The 20,458-nt window shown below is 35.5% G+C and overlaps 1 protein-coding gene across 5 annotated transcripts in view; it reads left to right on the forward strand.

Annotated features, from left to right (window-relative positions):
• The window catches only part of VPS50 (VPS50 subunit of EARP/GARPII complex), a 128,758-nt gene that overhangs the window by 78,947 nt on the left and 29,353 nt on the right, over positions 1-20,458 (forward strand). For 4 of the 5 annotated variants that reach the window (NM_001257998.2, NM_017667.4, XM_011516395.3 and 1 more), the window contains one exon: positions 12,299-12,420. In NM_001257998.2, the coding sequence (NP_001244927.1) occupies positions 12,299-12,420 (122 nt within the window). Of the gene's footprint in view, positions 1-9,063; positions 9,746-12,298; positions 12,421-20,458 lie in introns of those variants that run through there. The other variant, XM_011516396.4, reaches the window with a different exon arrangement.

A 20,458-nucleotide genomic window follows, 5' to 3' on the forward strand; every position in this document is an offset into this window, starting at 1 on the left:
TTAGTTTGTTACCGAATGACTTTTACTTGTGGTTTTTATTGTCTTGTATACTCCAGTGCTCTATGCAATGAGGGATTTAAGGTTATCATATGTCAATGCTTCTCATTTTAAATGTTCCAAATACTATAATACTAATAGTAATGCCAGTTTTTCTTTTTCAGTTACCTGTTTATTAAGTCTTTGTATCTTACAATTTTTCTAAAATATTTCAGTTAATTGAAATGCGATGAAAAATTCTCTAGGTAGGTTAGAGGTATGTGTAAGATAAGTTAGTACCAGTTTCACATTTATACAATATTTTTGTACTTAGTTGTTTCATAGGTCTTTACCATCTTCTGTCAGGCAGAGTGAATAGTGACTTTCTGGCATTTTCAGACACAAGGGATTTACAAGCTAAATGTTCAGATTATAGGAAATGTTGTTTTTGTAACAGATAAGACCTTTATTGATGATTTTGTAGAAGGCAAACAATATGAAGAAATGATATTTTAAATATTCAGGTTTTAGGATGATGTGGATTTTTTTAAAATCAGTATTTCAACATCTTGTATGCTTTTAGCCTTTGTATCTCACAAATAAGTCTATGTATTTGACAAATAAGTTATAGAGATGTCTTCTCCTATTAAACTTCATTGTTCCAAGCAGGAATTTTAGTGGTTTTCCATAAAAATCTCTATATTCTATCTATGGAGATGGTATTTACCTATTGCCTAGTTTGATTAACCTTAGCTCTGTTGAAATAGTCTGTGTTCTTTAAGATAATTCTTAAATTTAATTAATGAATAGGATAAAATGTACAGAATGCTTTTTAGGAGTCACGGTTTCTCTAGAAAGAGCAAAAAATATTACTGAATTGAGAAGAACAGAAAGGTATACCTTTTCATGATGCTCAGAAAAAAGGATAGATTCTAAAAAGCTATTCTGTGGCTAATTATTGCCAGGGAGCTAAGCTTTTCTTCTTCTTCCAAGAGAACTGACTGAACATAGTGTCAGAAATAACTCTCGAGAATTTGTAGAATCAGAATTGGGAGAGTGCTGAGTGGTCATTGGTGTAAGTTGCCATGAAGTCGGTTGTCTTTCTGTAATGTCTCTCATACATGGTAGCTGTCTAGCTTCTGTTTCATGACTCCCAGTCATTGGAAACACAGTGGTTTGCAAGACTACTCATTCTATCATTAGACTGATCTCATTAGTAGAAGTATCTTCCCTAAGGTAAACCAAAACCTGTCTCTCTGTGATTCTAGCCTTTGGTTTGTCCTTTTGGTCTAAGAGTTATGCCCTTAGAAGCAAGAAGAATAAGTTCGTGCATTTTTTTCTTCTATTTCTTCTATTCTTCTATTTCTTCTATCTTCTATTTCTTCTATTCTTCTATTTCCTCTATCTTCCATTTCTTCTAATTCTTCTATTCTTCCATGTGATCACTTTTCAGATATGTGGTGGTAGTTATCGTGCTTCCTTTTCTCATACCGACCACCCCACAATCCATTTTTCAGGCTCCATGGGCTCAGTTCCTTTATCTTGTCCTCACTGATAGAAATTCAGACCTTTCAGAATCATTGTCATCCTCCTTAGCCTTCTAGACTCAGCAGTTTTCAATGTCCGAACACATTCCTTGAGATGTAGTCAGCTTTTGCTAGATTATGTTGAAGTAACAAGCAACTGTTGGTGCATCAAGACGTTCAACCACAAAGTTTTATTTTTCACTCGTGATACGCATTGTCTCCTGTTTATATGCAGCTCTGCTCCGTGTGTCTCTTCATTCTAAGATGTAGGTTGAAAGAATAGTACCAACCAATCTGGAACATGGGGAGAAGAGCAAAAGCAAACTATGTTATGACTCCTGAAGCTTCTGCTTCCATGTGTCACCCTTGACTTCCTCTGACATGTCATGGCCAAAGCAAGTCAGGCTTGGCAAAGGGAGGGGAGAAGTATGCTTCTGCCGCAGGAAGCACTGCAAGTCAAGGGAAGTGGGCAGGGCTGTATATTGCTCTTACAGGGAATTGGGAAAAATAATATAATCAAACACATCTAAGCAGTTGTTTATATTTTTTACCTTACCTAGTTCAAAAGGGGCTGGAGGTAGTCATGTTGCTGTTTACGCTGAAGGCATATTTTCATTATAATCAAATAAAATAAAATACAAGGCTAAGACAAAGTTGAAGAGTGGGCACATCATGCTTTATCATATCATATTTAATGCAGACATCAAATACAATGCTTAACTTCTTGGTAGGCATAAGGGAATTGAAGAAACAATATATACCACTATCCTCGTTATCTGAGAAAAAGATACAGGCCTTTATAATAATGGTAGAAATATGTTCCTGGTGCTGAATTCAGATGTTAGTAACAACAAATTTTTGTATGAGGATTACTGATCAACATAGTGGGCCTTGCTTTTGAACAGTGGGTTTGTAGGAACTGAGAAAAGCCACATTCAAGACCCTTTAAAGTAAAGTAAAGTATGGCACAGTCCTGAATAAAGCCTTACTCTGTGAAGAGAATTTGACTATTGCAATTTCAGCTTTCTCCACTACCATATCTTTTACTGGACTTGCAATTAGGAAACAATGCCGAGTATGACAATTTAACTTTTATATCTTCTCATTTAGGACTGGGATTAGGTGCTGCCATTATCACCCCAGTTGGGATCCCCAGTAGACTTTTATGCCTATCATTTTCTCTCTCCCTGGGATGTTTTTATCTTCAGTTTTTAGATATATACAAAACAGAACTTTAAGGAAGCCACTGTCTCAGAGGCCTCTGACTAGCAAATGCACTATTCCATCCGCTGTTGTTATTGCATAGAAGTGCCTGAAGATTATAAACTGGCAGAGGTCATGCTTCTTCCTACAAAGGGAGAAGTACGGTTGTGTAAATAAGACAGATTAATTTTTGGTGCTTGAGAAGATGAAGGAACTAATTATTGAGTATTTGGGAAACCATATTAGAACATTAAAGGCATATTTAAAATGTCCTTTTCAAGTAGTATTTACTTGGCAGATAATTAGCAGAGCGTAAACAAAAGAGTGTTAATGGGGCTTCCTTACCCCAGGTGGTAACTAAATTTATTAGAAAGGCTCAGGGAGGCTTTGCACTAGTGGAGAGGACTGATCAGAACAGTTGCTTGTATTATATAAAGAGAAAATTCTGTCATCCTGATGGTTTCTTGCAGACAGTGAAAGAGAAATTTTAGGAAATGTGTCTCATCAGTGAAATAGCCTTGGTATTCACGGTTCTCTCTCCTGGAAGCAGCTTGTGAGCAGGTGTGATAGGTCTGAGGAGCAGGAGCTAGATTACCGAAGTCCATGCTTGTAAGAACTGCCGACAACAACAAAATTACCACTTTAGTAGCTAGAAAAAATATACCCTAGCACCCTAGCACATGCATCAGTATTTAAAATGAAACTAGGATATGTGCATCTAAGGGATATTTAGGTATAATGTGCCTGAGATGCAGCTTATGTGGTGGAGAGAACACAGGCATGGGAGACAAGAGATCCACTCCTTCATTAGGACATTCTTTTCATTGGGGGAAGGTCAAATACTAGATGACAGACTGCTGAAGTTTCTCAGCAGTTTAGTTTGCTGGCATATTCTTTATCATTGAGCATTTTAAATTGAAAGGTGATGCATAAAAATGGTTAAAAATTAAAATACCCCAAGGTATAAGCAGAGCCCCTGAGCTGCAAGTCTCCTTCCTCAGACAAAACGACTCAGTTTCTCCTGTTTTCTTCTGGAAACATTAGTGTTAGTACAAATATATTTAATACGTATATCTCCTCTCTCCTATTTTTTTTTGTTGTTGTTTTGTTTCAAAAATTGGATTACACTATTTATACTGTTTTTTATCTGGATTTTTTACTTAAAATATCTTAAGGTTACACTTAAAATATCTTAATGTATTACCTATCTTAGTATGTGTGGATTTCATTCTTTTTTCCTATTGTATAGATGTAATATTATAAGTGCCACAATTTATACATCTTCTACTTTTCAACATATAGGTTAAGTCATTTCATACTACAAACTGCCACAGCAAGTATCCTTGAAGAAATATCTTTGTGTATATACAGATAGAGCTATAGAACAAATTCCTATAAATACTTCCTCTCGCTGGATCAAAGAGTATATACATTTCCAGTTTTGATGGACATTCTCAATTTACCAATGAGGTTACTAACGAGCTTACTAAAAGAGTTCTGTTAAATTACTCATTCATTAGCAGTATTTGAGGGTAGCTCTTTTCTTAGTCTCAGCAACACTGTGTATCCTCCAGCTTTGGGTACTTGCTAGTCTGATAGGTTAAACATGGCATCTCATTCAAAAATGTATTTAATTATGAGTGAATTGAAGCATCTTTTCATATGCTTAAAAGACATTTCTATTTACTTGCGAACTACTTATTCATATCCACTGCTCATTTTTATATAATAAGGAAATTATAGGTTTTAATTTCAACATTAAGGAAATCAGTTCTTTTTTTGCCATGTATATTGCATTCATTAGTTTTAGTCCACCAGATTTTTTTTTTTTTTTTGAGTCACTACTTTGTTTCTGGCTAGCTGTTGGAGTTACAGTCATGAAGAAACCATAGTCTTTGTACTTTGTACTTAAGGAGTTCAACAAGGGAAATAAATACAAAATAAAAAAATTTACAGTGTGTTGTTATAAGCATAAATAAACAGAAAAGAGGCAAGAGAAAGAATGATGATTAATTTTCCTTTTTGGGTAGGAAGTGAAAGGACTGACTCACTATGGGGGCTGACACCCTAATTGAGTTTGAAAGATGAATAGGTTCTCATAGATGAAGTTGGTAAAGGCATTTTGGACAGAAAGAACATGTGCAAGACATGGTGTATTCAGAGACTCCAGTTGTCTAGTTTGCTGGAATGTAAGAAACATGACGGGGCCTGGAGGCAGAAGCAGAGGAGATGTGACGAGAAAGATGGGCAAGAACAGGATATGAGAAGGCCTCAAAGACTGTCCTATGCAGCTTGGACATAAGCTCCTTAAGGGATTTCTAACAGGGGAGAGACCCCAGCAGATTTGCTGTTTTTAAAAAAAGTGTAAATAAGGGATTGACTTTGGCTAAGGGGAAACTGGAGAAGGTCAAAGACTGGATGGCAGACTGTCGAAGTCTCCCAGGCAAGGGATGATGAGGACATAAGCCTGGATATGGATGGCAGTGGCCATTGTAATATAGAGAAGAAGATGGATTAGAGAGATTTTAGAAATACAACAGACAGAATTGGTGAATCAGTGATGAGCGATCACTCAGATTTTAGGTTTGTGTGATTAACCAGTTATAATGCCAGAAATGAAAAAGGGAAGATGAGAGGAAGACCAAGTTTTCCGAGCTGATGGTAGGGTAGACTTTGGACATATAGAGGTACCTCTGGGACATTTAAGTAGAAATAGTCTATAGGTAGTTACATAGATGGATGTGGAGGTCAGGAGAAAAAACATGATCAGGATACATAATTTGAGTCATTGTTTTAAAATGACTAGGAAGGACTAGGACTTCTGTCTGATTTTCTATGAACTCAAAAGGTTAGTGGATGAGTTTATCTTGGCAGAGGCTCTTAACAATTTGAGTTCATAGAAAACCAGACAGAAGCTCTACTATCCTTCCTACCCACTTAGTACACACAAAAACATGCAACACAAGATAGCTGAGTGGAAACCTAGGAAACAGCAGTGGATATGGATACACTGGAAGGGCAAACAGCAAGATCAGTCAGTGAAGAAGGTCATGAATCAACAGCAGAAAGGCAGGAGGAAAATTAGGAGGTGAAGCAGAGGTCTTGAAAACCAAGGCATGAGGGCCTATCAAGAAGAAAGAAGGACTGTGCTTTATTGCTTTATTCATCTTTTATGGTGATCTAGCCTTTGATTTTTAAATTTTGGCATGCGTCAGTATCACCTAGAGGGCTTGTTAAAACACAGATTGCTGGCCAGGTTTGGTGGCTCATACCTGTAATCCCAGCACTTTGGGAGGCCAAGACAGATGGATCACTTAAGGTCAGGAGTTCAAGAGCAGCCTGGCCAACATAGCAAAACCTTGTCTCTACTAAAAATACAAAAGTTAGCCAGATGTGGTGGGGCACTCCTGTAATCCCAGCTACTTGGGAGGCTGAGGCATGAGAACCCAGGAGGCAGAGGTTGCAGCAAGCCAAGGTTGCAGCAAGCTGAGATCGCACCACTGCATTCCAGCCTGGGTGACAGGGCAAGACTCTGTCTCAAATAAACAAACAAACAAAACACCGATTGCTGTCCCCCACTCCCAGAGTATCTGATTCAGTAGGTCTAGGGTATAACCTGAAAACGGGCACCTTTAACAAGTTTCCAGGTAATGTTGATGCAGCTTGTCTAGGGACCACACTTTGAGAACCATTGGTTCCTTTCTGTTATTTTCCTAATTGAAATGTAAAACAATGTGTATTTAACAGGAAAATTCTTGATTACATAACAGATAATTAAAATAGTAGCTTCTTTTGTTTTTTTGAATAAGTTGTTTTTAAAGTATCCTTGTTTCGGATACTTGGATAAAGTTATAGAGTTCATTGAAGTCATAAGTGCAGTCTTACAGAAGTATCACAATACTTTCTTATGTGTTTTGAAATTTTAAAACCATGTTTTATGATTAAGTTATCGTTTAAGAAAAAAATATTTTCATATGTAATGTTTAAGGAAAAAAAGTTTGTCATTCACTTTAAACTACATTCTAGTATTTCTGTTTATAATCATATAATAATGATATATTATATAATACATACTATATGTTATCTATATACTAATAGGATAATACTATGAGATAACATATATTTAGATATTATTTACATGAATTTATATTTTTAACATTTAAAAATATTTTCTGAGTTGCTAGCTTTATGTACAGCCTGATCTTTTGAGAGGATAATCCCAAAAGCACCATCCCTCAGTACATGTCACAAGAAAACAACATTGGAGATTTGGGGGGCTGAGATATAATATTTAAAAAATAAACCTGGTAGCCAGGCACTTAGGTAATGGACTTGTTGATTTTTTACTCTGGTCTTCACTTCATTATTCAGTACCTTTTTCTGAATTGCCCAAGCTGAACCAACTTTCCTTTACGCCTCTTTTATAGCTTTTCCAGTTTGTCTTATGTGCTATTATGGCTTTATATGCCATTTATATTCATTGATGGTGTCTCAAATTAGTGTACTGAAATAAAATAATGAATATTCTTCCAACTCAGAATCTATTCCTGCTTGTGTCCCATCAGATTATAAACCCCTATAGAAGAGAGCCTTAAATCATTTTTGTAGCATCTATATGTGGCACCTGGCCAAGTGCTTTTTACTTTTGTAGGAACCCAATAGATGTTGGACTGACAAACCTTAATTTTTAAAAATCTTCAATATAGGAGAAACTCATTTTCTCTCTTGTCATATCCACAATGGAAAAAATTTCTCCCCCATGTTTCCAGCATTTTTATGGAACTCCTACACTCTTTTACAAATGACACTGTACAAACAAACAACATCGGTTCTCTTTTCTAGGAGTTTCAATTTAAAATAATTTCTTTGAAAATGTGTAAGTTTAATAGAGTAAAATAAAATATATTTAAGAAAATATTTATTTTTATAAGCTTATTCATATATAGCAAAAGTAGAAAAGCAAGAGGAAAAATGATACACACAAGGTACGGCCCATTCCCCTGAATCCTAGCCCTGTGAAATCTTGGGTCAGAGGCCAAGAACATTTCTTTATCACTGTATCATTCAAGAGCTCAATATCCACAAGGTGCAAAGAACATATCTTTCTCATTCCTTTTTTTGGAAGATGCCAATATCCTATTCCTTTTCCTCTGAATATATAATCAGATATAGTCACAGAAAAAAAACACAGTAAATTAAACTTCTGCATTTACAAACTTGCTAATGTATTTGAAGGGTTCAAGTGTGGGAACCACACTTCTCTCTGTGTCTCCCACTGATGAATTGGCTAAGGCAGGCCCACTGTTCGTTCTCTTGTTTCTAGTTCTTGTCCATGCTGCTACTTGGTTTCTTGGCCAGTCCCTCTGTGTATCTCTTCCCTATGGTCTAGTTATTTCCCAGAAAAGGCTGATGAGAAGTAAATGTTTGAATTCGTGTCAGTCTGAAAATGTCTTTTTTTTTTCTCTTTCACTTGAATGACAATTTAGCTATGAATAGACTTGTAGATTAAAAATTATTTTCTTCAGAACTGGAACTTCTAGCATTCTATTCTGTTGCAGATGAATTTCTCTCTCTTTGAAAACTTTTAATATTTGTTTCCTTGATCCAGAATTTTATGTTGATGTGTCTAGCTATGATTTCATTTTCAATGTGTTTGATAGTATGTGGACTCTTTTGATCTGAAGGCTCCTGTGTTCCTCAACTATTACTGACACTAGTATTTCTTTGATAATTTCCACCTCTGTATTTTCTCTGTTCTCTCTTTTTAAAACAATTTCCTCCATTACTCAAATTGGTCCTTTATATCTATTTTCTCAAATGTTTCCCACAGTATTGTCTTTTGCTGTACCTTTTAGGAGACTTAATTTAACTTTTTATTTTAAATATTATATTTTTACTTTTAAGAAGTCTTTTATATTCTTTTTTGGATAATCTTTTATTACTGAGAAATTTAATTATTATATTTCTTTTTAGCTTGAATTATTCTGTTTCTTTTGGGATCAACTTTTCATTTTCACACTCTGAGTTTTCTTTGTGTGCCTGGTGATTTTTGATTAGCTATTTAGATTTAAAATAGAAGGCTTACAAGCCATTGTGGGTTTCTTGTGAGTAATTAGAACTATGTTCGAGCTGGCTCTTTCTCTTCAGTAGAAATTCGGACTCGGAACTTTGTGTGAAATATAGGAAAGGGCTTGGGTAGATTTACTGGCAGTCTTTATGGGGACTGATTCTCTAAATCCCAGAATAAGGTAGAAGCCTTAGCTTTTCAATTTTTTATTTTTTTTTAAGTTCGTTTGCCCCCCGTCTTTTTTTTTTTTCAGTTTATCATTTCTTTTTTTCTTTTTCTTTTTTTTTTTAGACGGAGTCTCACTCTGTTGCCTAGGCTGGAGTACAGTGGCGCATCTCCACTCACTGCAAGCTCCGCCTCCCGGGTTCAAGCCATTCTCCTGCCTCAGCCTCCCGCGTAGCTGGGACTACAGGCGCCCGCCACCACGCCCGGCTAATTTTTTGTATTTTCTTTTTTTTAGTAGAGACGGGGTTTCACCGTGTTAGCGGGGATGGTCTCTATCTATCTCCTGACCTCGTGATCCGCCCGCCTCGGCCTCCCAAAGTGCTGGGATTACAGGCATGAACCACCGCTCCCAGCTTATCATTTCTTTTAGAGAGGAACCTTAAGGGTTTCTATTTTGTTTTATGGGTAAATTCTAGCAGCCTACACCTCTAACTGCTGGAGAGGAGAGGGGAATGGTGGTGGTGGGGAATGCAGACTGTTACAGTTTGTCCCATATGTGAACCTGTAGCTTGATCGTTTTTCAGCCCCGTTTCTGACTCCTGCAGTTCCAGCTTGATTCTAAGTAGTTACTGTCCTAGTGAATAGCTTCCACCTCCTTTTTGGCCCTCTTATGGTTTTATTGGCTTATGTTTTTCCATCAACGTGTTCCCATCTACTGTCTGTCATCTACAACAGACGTTTTGAGATGTCAAATGTTTTGAGCTGCTGGCTGCTTGTTTTTGTAAATAAAGTTTTATTGGCACACCCATGCTCATTTGTTTGCATATTGTCTGTCTGTAGCTGCTTTTGTGCTACAGTGGCATAGTTGAGCAGTTGAAACAGAAGACAGCAGAGCAGAATTGTTGCCACAGAGACTGTGCGGTATGCAAAGCCTAAACTATCTACTCTTGGGTCCTTTACAGGAAAAGTTTGCCAACCTCTGGTCTAGAAATGTTTTGACATTTTTCATTTTCTTGTGCTCAAACCTACCAGCCTCGCCTTCTCACCCTCTTCTCTTCATAGATAAGGAATTAATTCATTGTAATGTTCTCTTTTAATTCAGTAAGATCTGAGGAGGCATATAAGCCTCCTCAAGCCTCCAAACGTCTGCTGTCTGCCTGTTCTGTCCTCTTGAACTGGAAAGACAGAGTCCTCATTCTTATACTCTGTAATATACTGATGATCTGCTTATTGATTATTGTCTTCCATGTATGACTTTTAAGGTGCAACAGCCGGGACTCTGTGTAATTCCTTGTTCCTTAATACAAGGCCAAGTATATAGTAAGCCTTCAAAACGCGTTTGTTGAATGAATAAATTAATATCCTTATGTTTGAATTTTCTTTTCAAGGTGGTGAGGAACAGCTATTTTTTTCTTCTGAATACACATTTAAAATCGCCTTTACCTATTAATAATCGATTTTTATATCCTTTTTCAAGATTAGGTATATAAACGATGGTTAATCTTTTCGGGAATGGAGAGGACCTCGTGTTCTAGATGCATGCCAGCCTACTTATTTGCATTCTACCTCATTCTACTTATTCATCTTTGTTTTTTTGTTTTTAACTGAGTAATGTAGTATATTATTTTTTCTTCACAGTGTTGCATTATTTTATATGTTAACAAGTAGTAGCTTAAGTAACCGTATGTTTTGTAGCTGAGGAAATACCTGCATAATGATCCAGAGTGTTTTAGGAGCAGTATATTTCAATTATTTTTCAAATGTGATTTTTCAAAAAAAGTCTGTGTGAAATAATTGCAAAGGATGATTGTGAAACAGAAGAATTTTAAAATAGGAATAAGAATAAATCTGAGTTGAGTAGTTTTTACTGTGTTTTGATGTATATTTGTATTTGTGTTTCTCTTCTTGACCATCTATTATTTAAAATCATTTCTCACATAAATTAAGAAAGACGTACTGAGTTCTTAAATGGTTTTGATAGTAGACATTTCCTTTGGAGTACATTTGTCATTTCTTGTACTGCAGTAAATGTGTTTTGAGTCATGATGTCTTTAATAGTACCAATTTAGGCCGGGCGCGGTGGCTCACGCCTGTAATCCCAGCACTTTGGGAGGCCGAGGCGGGCGGATCACGAGGTCAGGAGATCGAGACCATCCTGGCTAACACGGTGAAACCCCGTCTCTACTAAAAATACAAAAAAATTAGCCGGGCGTGGTAGCGGGCGCCTGTAGTCCCAGCTACTCGGGAGGCTGAGGCAGGAGAATGGCGTGAACCTGGGAGGCGGAGCTTGCAGTGAGCCGAGATCGCGCCACTGCACTCCAGCCTGGGCGACAGAGCGAGACTCCGTCTCAAAAAAAAAAAAAAAAAAAAAAATAGTACCAATTTAAAATTATAGCAGTTAAGATGAAGTAGAGCCAGCACCTGAATTATTGGCTTATTTGGAAATTAAGCAAATGGCCTGTTTTAAGATCTTCTGTAGAAGAAAGTATAGAGCATTTTTTAATAGATATGCTTCTTTTCCTCTTATTTCCCACAAAAAAGAGACAGAACTGGGGACTTGCAGTTATTTGTTATTTGATTCTTCCCATCCCTCTTGAACCCTTCCAATACATTAGCAAGTTTGTAAATGCAGAAGTTTAATTCATTGTGTTTTTTGTTTTTCTGTGAGTATATCTGATTATATATTTAGAGGAAAAGGAATGGGATATTGGCATCTTCCAAAAGAAGGAATGAGAAAGATATGTTCTTTGTACCCTGTGGATATTGAGCTCTTGAATGATACAGTGATAAAGAAATGTTCTTGGCCTCTGACCCAAGATTTCACAGGGCTAGGATTCAGGGCAATGGGCAGTATCTTGCATGTATCATTTTTCTTCTTGCTTTTCTACTTTTGCTATATATGTATAAGCTTATGAAAAATAAATATTTTCTTAAATATATTTTATTTTCCTCTATTAAACTTACACATTTTCAAAGAAATTATTTTAAATGGAAACTCCTAGAAAAGAGAACCAATGTTGTTTGTTTGTACAGTGTCAGTTGTAGAAGAGTGTAGGAGTTCCATAAAAATTTGGGAAACAGTAAAATGTAGTAAGAGGAAAATATCATTGTATTATTTATATTAGTACTCTCCAATATAACTTTCCAAGATGATAGAACTGTTCATAATCTGTGCTGTCCCATGCAATAGCCATTAGCCACATGAAACTACTGAGTACTTGAGACATGGCTACTGTGAGGGAGTGCAATGTTTCATTATATTTAAATATTTTAGTATAATAATTTTATTTTCTTTTTATAATTATAGACTAACAGATTTTAATTTTGTTCTGCTTAATTTTTTATTCTTTTTTCTTTTCAGGAAAATATATGCAGATGATGAACATTCTTAAGCCAATTGCCTTTGATGTTATTCATTTCATGTCTCAACTATTTGATTATTACTTGTATGCAATATATACCTTTTTTGGTCGGAATGATTCAGTAAGTCCACCTTTAGAGGGAAAAAAATCTTTCTTTTAAAATTTATTTTATAAATGTCAAAGTTTTTCATTCTCTCTATAGAAGATACACAAATAACATTATTTTGGGGATTATGCATCAAAAACAAAATTATTGATATCAGCCTTCTGTCTGCCTTATTGCCTTACTTTTATATTAATTTTAAGCTTTGGTATGATAAACACATTCAAATTTTTGGCAGAAAAAGTGCAACATCTGTTTCTAACCTTGACATATTTTGGCAATGAAAAATGTGCAGGTTGCTTTTTTTAAATCTGGCTCCATCTAAAATATAAAACAGTAAATGAGACATTTTAAATGCTGGCTAACAACCTTAGCAGTCACTAGTATATTTATAAGATAATGATGTATAAGAATGCTTGTGATTTTTGTACATTGATTTTGTATCCTGAGACTTTGCTTAAGGATATTTTGGGCTGAGACAATGGGGTTTTCTAGATATACAATCATGTCATCTGCAAACAGGGACAATTTGACTTGCTCTTTTCCTAATTGAATACCCTTTATTTCCTTCTCCTGCCTAATTGCCCTGGCCAGAACTTCCAACACTATGTTGAATAGGAGTGGTGAGAGAGGGCATCCCTATCTTGTGCCAGTTTTCAAAGGGAATGCTTCCAGTTTTTGCCCATTAAGTATGATATTGGCTGTGGGTTTGTCATAGATAGCTCTTATTATTTTGAGATACATCCCGTGAATACCTAATTTATTGAGAGTTTTTAGCATGAAGAGTTGTTGAATTTTGTCAAAGGCCTTTTCTGCATCTATTGAGATAATCGTGGTTTTTGTCTTTGGTTCTGTTTATATGCTGGATTACATTTATTGATTTGCGTATATTGAACCAGCCTTGCAAAATCACAAGCATTCTTATACACCAATAACAGTCAAACAGAGAGCCAAATCATGAGTGAACTCCCATTCACAATTGCTTCAAAGAGAATAAAATACCTAGGAATCCAACTTACAAGGGATGTGAAGGACCTCTTCAAGGAGAACTACAAACCACTGCTCAATGAAATAAAAGAGGATACAAAGAAATGGAAAAACATTCCATGCTCATGGGTAGGAAGAATCAATATCGTGAAAATGGCCATACTTCCCAAGGTGTAATTTATAGATTCAATGCCATCCCCATCAAGCTGCCAATGACTTTCTTCACAGAATTGGAAAAAACTACTTTAAAGTTCATATGGAACCAAAAAAGAGCCTGCATCGCCAAGTCAATCCTAAGCCAAAAGAACAAAGCTGGAGGCATCACACTACCTGACTTCAAACTATACTACAAGGCTACAGTAACCAAAACAGCATGGTACTGGTACCAAAACAGAGATATAGATCAATGGAACAGAACAGAGCCCACAGAAAAAACGCCGCATATCTACAACTATCTGATCTTTGACAAACCTGAGAAAAACAAGCAATGGGGAAAGGATTCCCTATTTAATAAATGGTGCTTGGAAAACTGGCTAGCCATATGTAGAAAGCTGAAACTGGATCCCTTCCTTACACCTTGTATATACAAAAATTAATTCAAGATGGATTAAAGACTTAAATGTTAGACCTAAAACCATAAAAACCCTAGAAGAAAACCTAGGCATTACCATTCAGGACATAGGCATGGGCAAGGACTTCATGTCTAAAACACCAAAAGCAATGGCAACAAAAGCCAAAGTTGACAAATGGGATCTAATTAAACTAAAGAGCTTCTGCACAGCAAAAGAAACTACCATCAGAGTGAACAGGCAACCTACAAAATGGGAGAAAATTTTCACAACCTACTCATCTGACAAAGGGCTAATATCCAGAATCTACAATGAACTCAAACAAGTTTGCAAGAAAAAAACAACCCCATCAAAAAGTGGGCAAAGGATATAAATAGACACTTCTCAAAAGAAGACATTTATGCAGCCAAAAAACACATGAAAAAATGCTCACCATCACTGGACATCAGAGAAATGCAAATCAAAACCACAATGAGATACCATCTCACACCAGTTAGAATGGCAATCATTAAAAAGTCAGGAAACAACAGGTGCTGGAGAGGATGTGGAGAAATAGGAACACTTTTACACTGTTGGTGGGACTGTAAACTAGTTCAACCCTTGTGGAAGTCAGTGTGGCGATTCCTCAGGGATCTAGAACTAGAAATACCATTTGACCCAGCCATCCCATTACTGGGTATATACCCAAAGGACTATAAATCATGCTGCTATAAAGACACATGCACACGTATGTTTATTGTGGCACTATTCACAATGGCAAAGACTTGGAACCAAGCCAAATGTCCAACAATGATAGACTGGATCAAGAAAATGTGGCACATATACACCATAGAATACTATGCAGCCATAAAAAATGATGAGTTCATGTCCTTTGTAGGGACATGGATGAAATTGGAAATCATCATTCTCAGTAAACTATCACAAGGACAAAAAACCAAACACTGCATATTCTCACTCATAGGTGGGAATTGAACAATGAGAACACATGGACACAGGAAGGGGAACATCACACTCTGGGGACTGTTGTGGGGTGGGGGGAGGGGGGAGGGATAGCATTAGGAGATATACCTAATGCTAAATGACGAGTTAATGGGTGCAGCACACCAGCATGGCACATGTATACATATGTAACTAACCTGCACATTATGCACATGTACCCTAAAACTTAAAGTATAATAATAATAAAAAAAAAATAAAATAAAATAAAATAATACAGTATTGAAACCCAGAAAAAAAAATAAAAAATAATGAAAAATATTTATTAAAATAATTGAAAATCTGAACTGAGCCATCTACCTGCCGTAGAATTAATGTTTTTCTGCACCTCCTTTCTGTGTTTCCAAAGCTCTTATTGAGTATATCTTTTTCTGCTACTCACAGAAAATAACACAATATTAGGCAGGTAACTAATTTGATACTTTAAAATTAATTATGTGGTTTGCATAGATGTTTGACAGTTTTCTGTGTAAAAACATTCCATTGAGTCCTATGAATATAATACTACTTATGTTTCATATCTTTTTAAAAATGTAAATTTCAATGTATAACTACATTCATTATATAAATATTTATATCCTTGCTGTGATCACAAGTATGTCAAAGACATAATCATTTTATATAGGACCTGAATTTCCTGGGTTCTTAATTCTGAAAAATATTACTTAGAAAGAATGCTAATATGACCAGTGACAAAATGTTGCTACAGAATTTATATACTATAAAGTATGTATTAATTCATCACCCTGAATTTGGAAACTCACTAAATAAATATTGAGGAAGACATTGTAGAGTTTTAGCTAATTGTCAGAATGTTTTAGTCTTGTAGGTGAGCCTTACTTTGTCTTTTGGGCCATGCCTCTAGACCAGTCCTAAGAAATTTCACAATAGTGGAAACGTTCTATATTAGCAATGTCTGGTATGGTAACCACTAGCCACACATGGCTGTTGAGCGCTTGAAATATGTATGACTAATGACTTAGGAACTGTATTCTTAATTGTATCCAATTTTAGTTAATTTAATCTTTAAATATAAATAGCCACGTGTGACTACTATCATATGGGACAGAACAGTTCCAGACCACATTATTGATAAGATGTGTTAAAATAAATAAGATCTTTCTGAAACTTTTGGGAACCAAATGGTTTTGGGCATGATTTCCCAGCTCATTATATACTGACACAGAATTTTTTCAGAATGGCATTTACTAGTACCCCAGAAATTTAGCAAAGTATAGTTAGGTACTTATTGTAAAATATATTGCATATTTGATTTAAGGTTTGTTATGAACACACTAATCTGATATTTTATATTTAAACCATTTTCAATTCTGTAAGACTCAGTAAGAGCTATTTAATTATACTGAAACAAAGAAAATCTATAAATAAATAGCACAAATAGGCACATGCGGGTGTATAATACTGAAGTGGTAGTTTTTAATTTCCGAAGAGAATAAGCTTTTCAGGCCCATTAGAAATCACAGAATTTTTCATACTCATAAAAATAAATAAATACTCCAAATTTACCCCATTAGCTGTTGAATGTTTGTTAGTGGTACCGGGGAGGGGGAATCAGGTAATGTGTAGAATGGGAAGAACAGGTTATGTGGTGGTATCTGCTTTTCTGTCAGAAGAAAGGGACTTGTGTGAGAGAATTTAGATGGATGCTTCTTGTGGAAAAATAAGTATCTTTTTCTCAGGGGTTCTGGCTTCTAGAAATCATTGGTTGGGGACACAGTATATACATTAGTTCAAAGGATTACTCCTATTAATACTATTCCCTCCAGAAACTCCTGCTATTCACTGAACTGGTTATAACCTACTACCTCATGCTCTATTTTATATCTGATCCATTGGATTCTATTATAATAATGCTACTCATGGTATTGCTTTATCTTGCCTTGTCCCCAGCTTTCCATTGTTCACCTCTTAAATTATGTTTTCTTTGGTCTTTCTGGTTCACATTTTTTTGTGAAGACCATTCTGTAACTTACTTAAAACAGTAGTAAACACATAGCAGACACTCATGGCATATGGATTGATCTAATTATTTGCCATCCCAGTAAATCTTACGAAGGTTCTTACTTGACAACAGTTTGTGAGCCTCATTTAAGGTTACCTTTCATTAGTAAAACGGTTTCTTTGTAGAGAGCCTATATAAATAGGTATCTATATATTTAAAAAATGAATTAACTTCCAATTCCGGGTATGACAGACTAAACCCTTTCTAGATAAGATTTCCTGCAGAAAACAACTATAAAATCTGAATACTATAGAAAAGGCAACTATTTGAAGACGCTGGAGAGTAAACAGAAGCAGCAAATAGACTGTGGTGGGGGGTCCATGCTAGTCTGCAGATGGGAGAAAGGGGAGCTATGAAAATAAACTTTATCCCTGTGGCTTTTAGTTCAGTTCTAAGTGCAGTCCATGCGGCCCACGGTGGGGAACAAGCACAAGAAAACCTGAAGTTTTTATGGACTGGAGAATCAGAAAAGTGGAGCTAGAAAACTGGAAACACTGAAAATAGTGGAGGACGCTCAGAAGAAAAAAATCCAGAGAGAGGATTTCCAAATTCAGTCCACCTATATCTCGGACTGTGAGATATGTGATTCCATGATCCATGATTATATGGAACAAACTGACTGCAGCCCAGTGAAAGAAAAAAAATATAAACGGAGACCAAAGCTGCTGCACAAGAGACAGTTTATAGTTAAAGCCCAGCCAAGAAACTTATGTACTGAAAACAAAGGAAATGGTATTTATGGGAGAAAAATGACTAGTATCCAGAATCTCCAGAATGAAATTGGTGATGTAATCCAACTTTACCTAACAGACACAGCACCAAATCAATCTAGTTTAACTCTAAGATATTGGAACCAAGGAATAAGGATTTTAAATGGGCTTTTATCCTTGTCTTCAATGAATTAAAACAAAATATATTTTAAATGCATGAACATCTCAGCAGAGAAATAGTAAATTCTGGTAGTGACAATAATAAAAAACCAAAGGGAAATCCTAGAAATGAAAAATACAATTTCAAAAAACAACAAAAAATTTACTCAATATACTTAACAGCCAAATGGACATGACAGAAGAAAGAATATGTGAACTTAAAGATAAATCAAAGTTATACAAAGTGAAGAGCGTAAAAAAGGATTAAAAGGAAAAAAGTCTCACAAACATGTTCGATTATATCACATGGTAAAACATACATGTAATTGGAATACTAGATGGAGAAGAAGAGAGAGAGAATGGGTCAGAAAAAATATTTGAAAAAACACTGGCCAAAATTTTGCAGACACAAGATGCTAAATGAACAGCAAGAAGAGGAAGCATAAAGAAATGTACAGCAGAGTACCTATGATGAAACTTTTTCTTGAAAACCATAGTAGATGTATTATATAAAAGGGACCAATAATCTGATTAACAGCTGACTTCCCATTAAAAAGCTATGGGGATGAGAAGAGAGTTAACACCTTGAAGGTACAAAAGAAAAAGAAATAATGTCTATTCAGAATTTTATATCCAGTAAAAACGTCATTCGAGAATGAAAGTGAAATTAAGATACTTTTAGATAAAAAGAACAAAAATACTAAGAGAATTTGTCACAAGGGACATATAAGAATTCCTAAAGGAAGTTATTAAACTGAAGGGGAATGATAACACATGAAAACCTAGATCCTCAGAAAAGAGTAAAGAGCCTTGGTAATGGAATCTACCTGTGGAAATTCAAAAGATAATTTTTTTCTTTTTCCACTTTCTTTATAAACCATAGAGCTGTTTAACACTGAAATCATAGCATAGTCTTCCTGGAGTTCATAATATATGTAGATGTATTACATATAAAAACTGCAACAAAGTATGTGGGGGGTTATGATGTATAAGATTGCAAGATTTCTGTATATTAGTAAAGCAGTGATGAGTATTGTAATCCATAGGACAACCATGAAACATACTACAAATAACTTTAACTTTTAGCCAACAGGAATATTAAAGTAGAAATCTAAAAATATATAATTACAAGAGGCAGGAAAGGAAGAACCAAGGAGGGAAAATAGAGAGAAAATATAACAGTAGGTGCAAACTCAACTAATCATTACATTAGATGATAATGGACTAAACTCTCAAATGGCAGATTGTCAGAATGGATTAAAAACAAAGTCCACACTAAAAAACAAAAAGACATACTTTAAATATAAAAAATAGGCTAGGCATGATGGTTCAGACTTGTAATCCCAGCACTTTGGGAGGCTGAGGTGGAAGGGTCACTTGAGCCCAGAAGTTCGAGACCGGACTGGAAAATATGGTGAAACCCAGTCCCTACTAAAAATACAAAAATTAGCCAAGTGTGGTGGCTTGCTCCTGTAGTCCCAGTTACTCGGGATGCTGAGGCAGGAGGATCGCTTGAGCCCTGGAGGTCGAGGCTGCAGTGAGCTGTGATTGCGCCACTGCATTCCAGCCTGGGCAACTGGGCAACAGAGCGAGACCCTGTCTCAAAAAAAAAAAAAAAAAAAAACCCAAACAATTGTGCTGGAGATCCTAGTCTTTGTCATAAGATAAGAAATATAAGGCATATGGATTGGAAAAGAAGTTAGGTTGTCCTTAATTGCAGATGACATGGGAAACCCTAAGGAATCCACAAATAAGCTTCTAGAACTAATAAGTACATTTAGCAAACTCCTAGAATATAAAGTCAGTATACAAAAATCAATAATAATCAAGTTTGAAAATAAAAAATTTTTAAAAGCTTTACTTACAATAACATCAAAATTTTTTAGAAATGTAACAGATAACTTGATAGGCTTGTACCCTGAAAATACTAAAGCATTAGAAATGGAATTAAAGACTATGTAAATAAATAATGAGATACACCATGTGCATATATTAGAAAACTCAATATTGTAAAGGTGGCAGTCTTCCCCAAATCTATAGGTTCAGTACAATCCCAATCAAAACTGTAACAAGGTTTTTTTTTTTTTTTTGAAGAAATTTAGAAGTTTATTTTAAAATTGATACAAAAAGCAAAAGATTCATAATGGCCAAAACATTTTTGAAGACCAGAGTTAGAGGATTTTTATACCTGATTTCACAAAGACTTACTCCAGAGCTACAGTAGTTGATAAAATGTGGTACTGGCCTAACGGTAGATAAGTGCAACAGAAATAGACACACTTACATGGTCAACTGATTTTTGAAAAGAGCACTAAGGCAGTTCATTAGAGAAAATAGTTTTTTTAGCAAGTGGTGTGGGTACACTTGGATATAAGTATGAAAAGAAAAAAAAAGCCTCAACCCCTTCATACCATACACAAGAATATAAATAAACATTGTTTGTAAGACCTAAAGAAGTTCCAAAACTATGAAACTTCTAGAAAAAACTAGGAGAAAATCTTTGTGACATTTGGGTTAGGCATATGCTTCTTTGAAAAGACACAAAAAGCATGAAGCATAAAAGAAAATATTGATAAAATGGGCTTCCTCATGGTTAACAACGTTTGCTAAAG

The sequence above is a fragment of the Homo sapiens genome, chromosome 7 (assembly GCF_000001405.40).
Source record: "Homo sapiens chromosome 7, GRCh38.p14 Primary Assembly".
NCBI classification, from domain to species: Eukaryota; Metazoa; Chordata; class Mammalia; order Primates; family Hominidae; genus Homo; species Homo sapiens.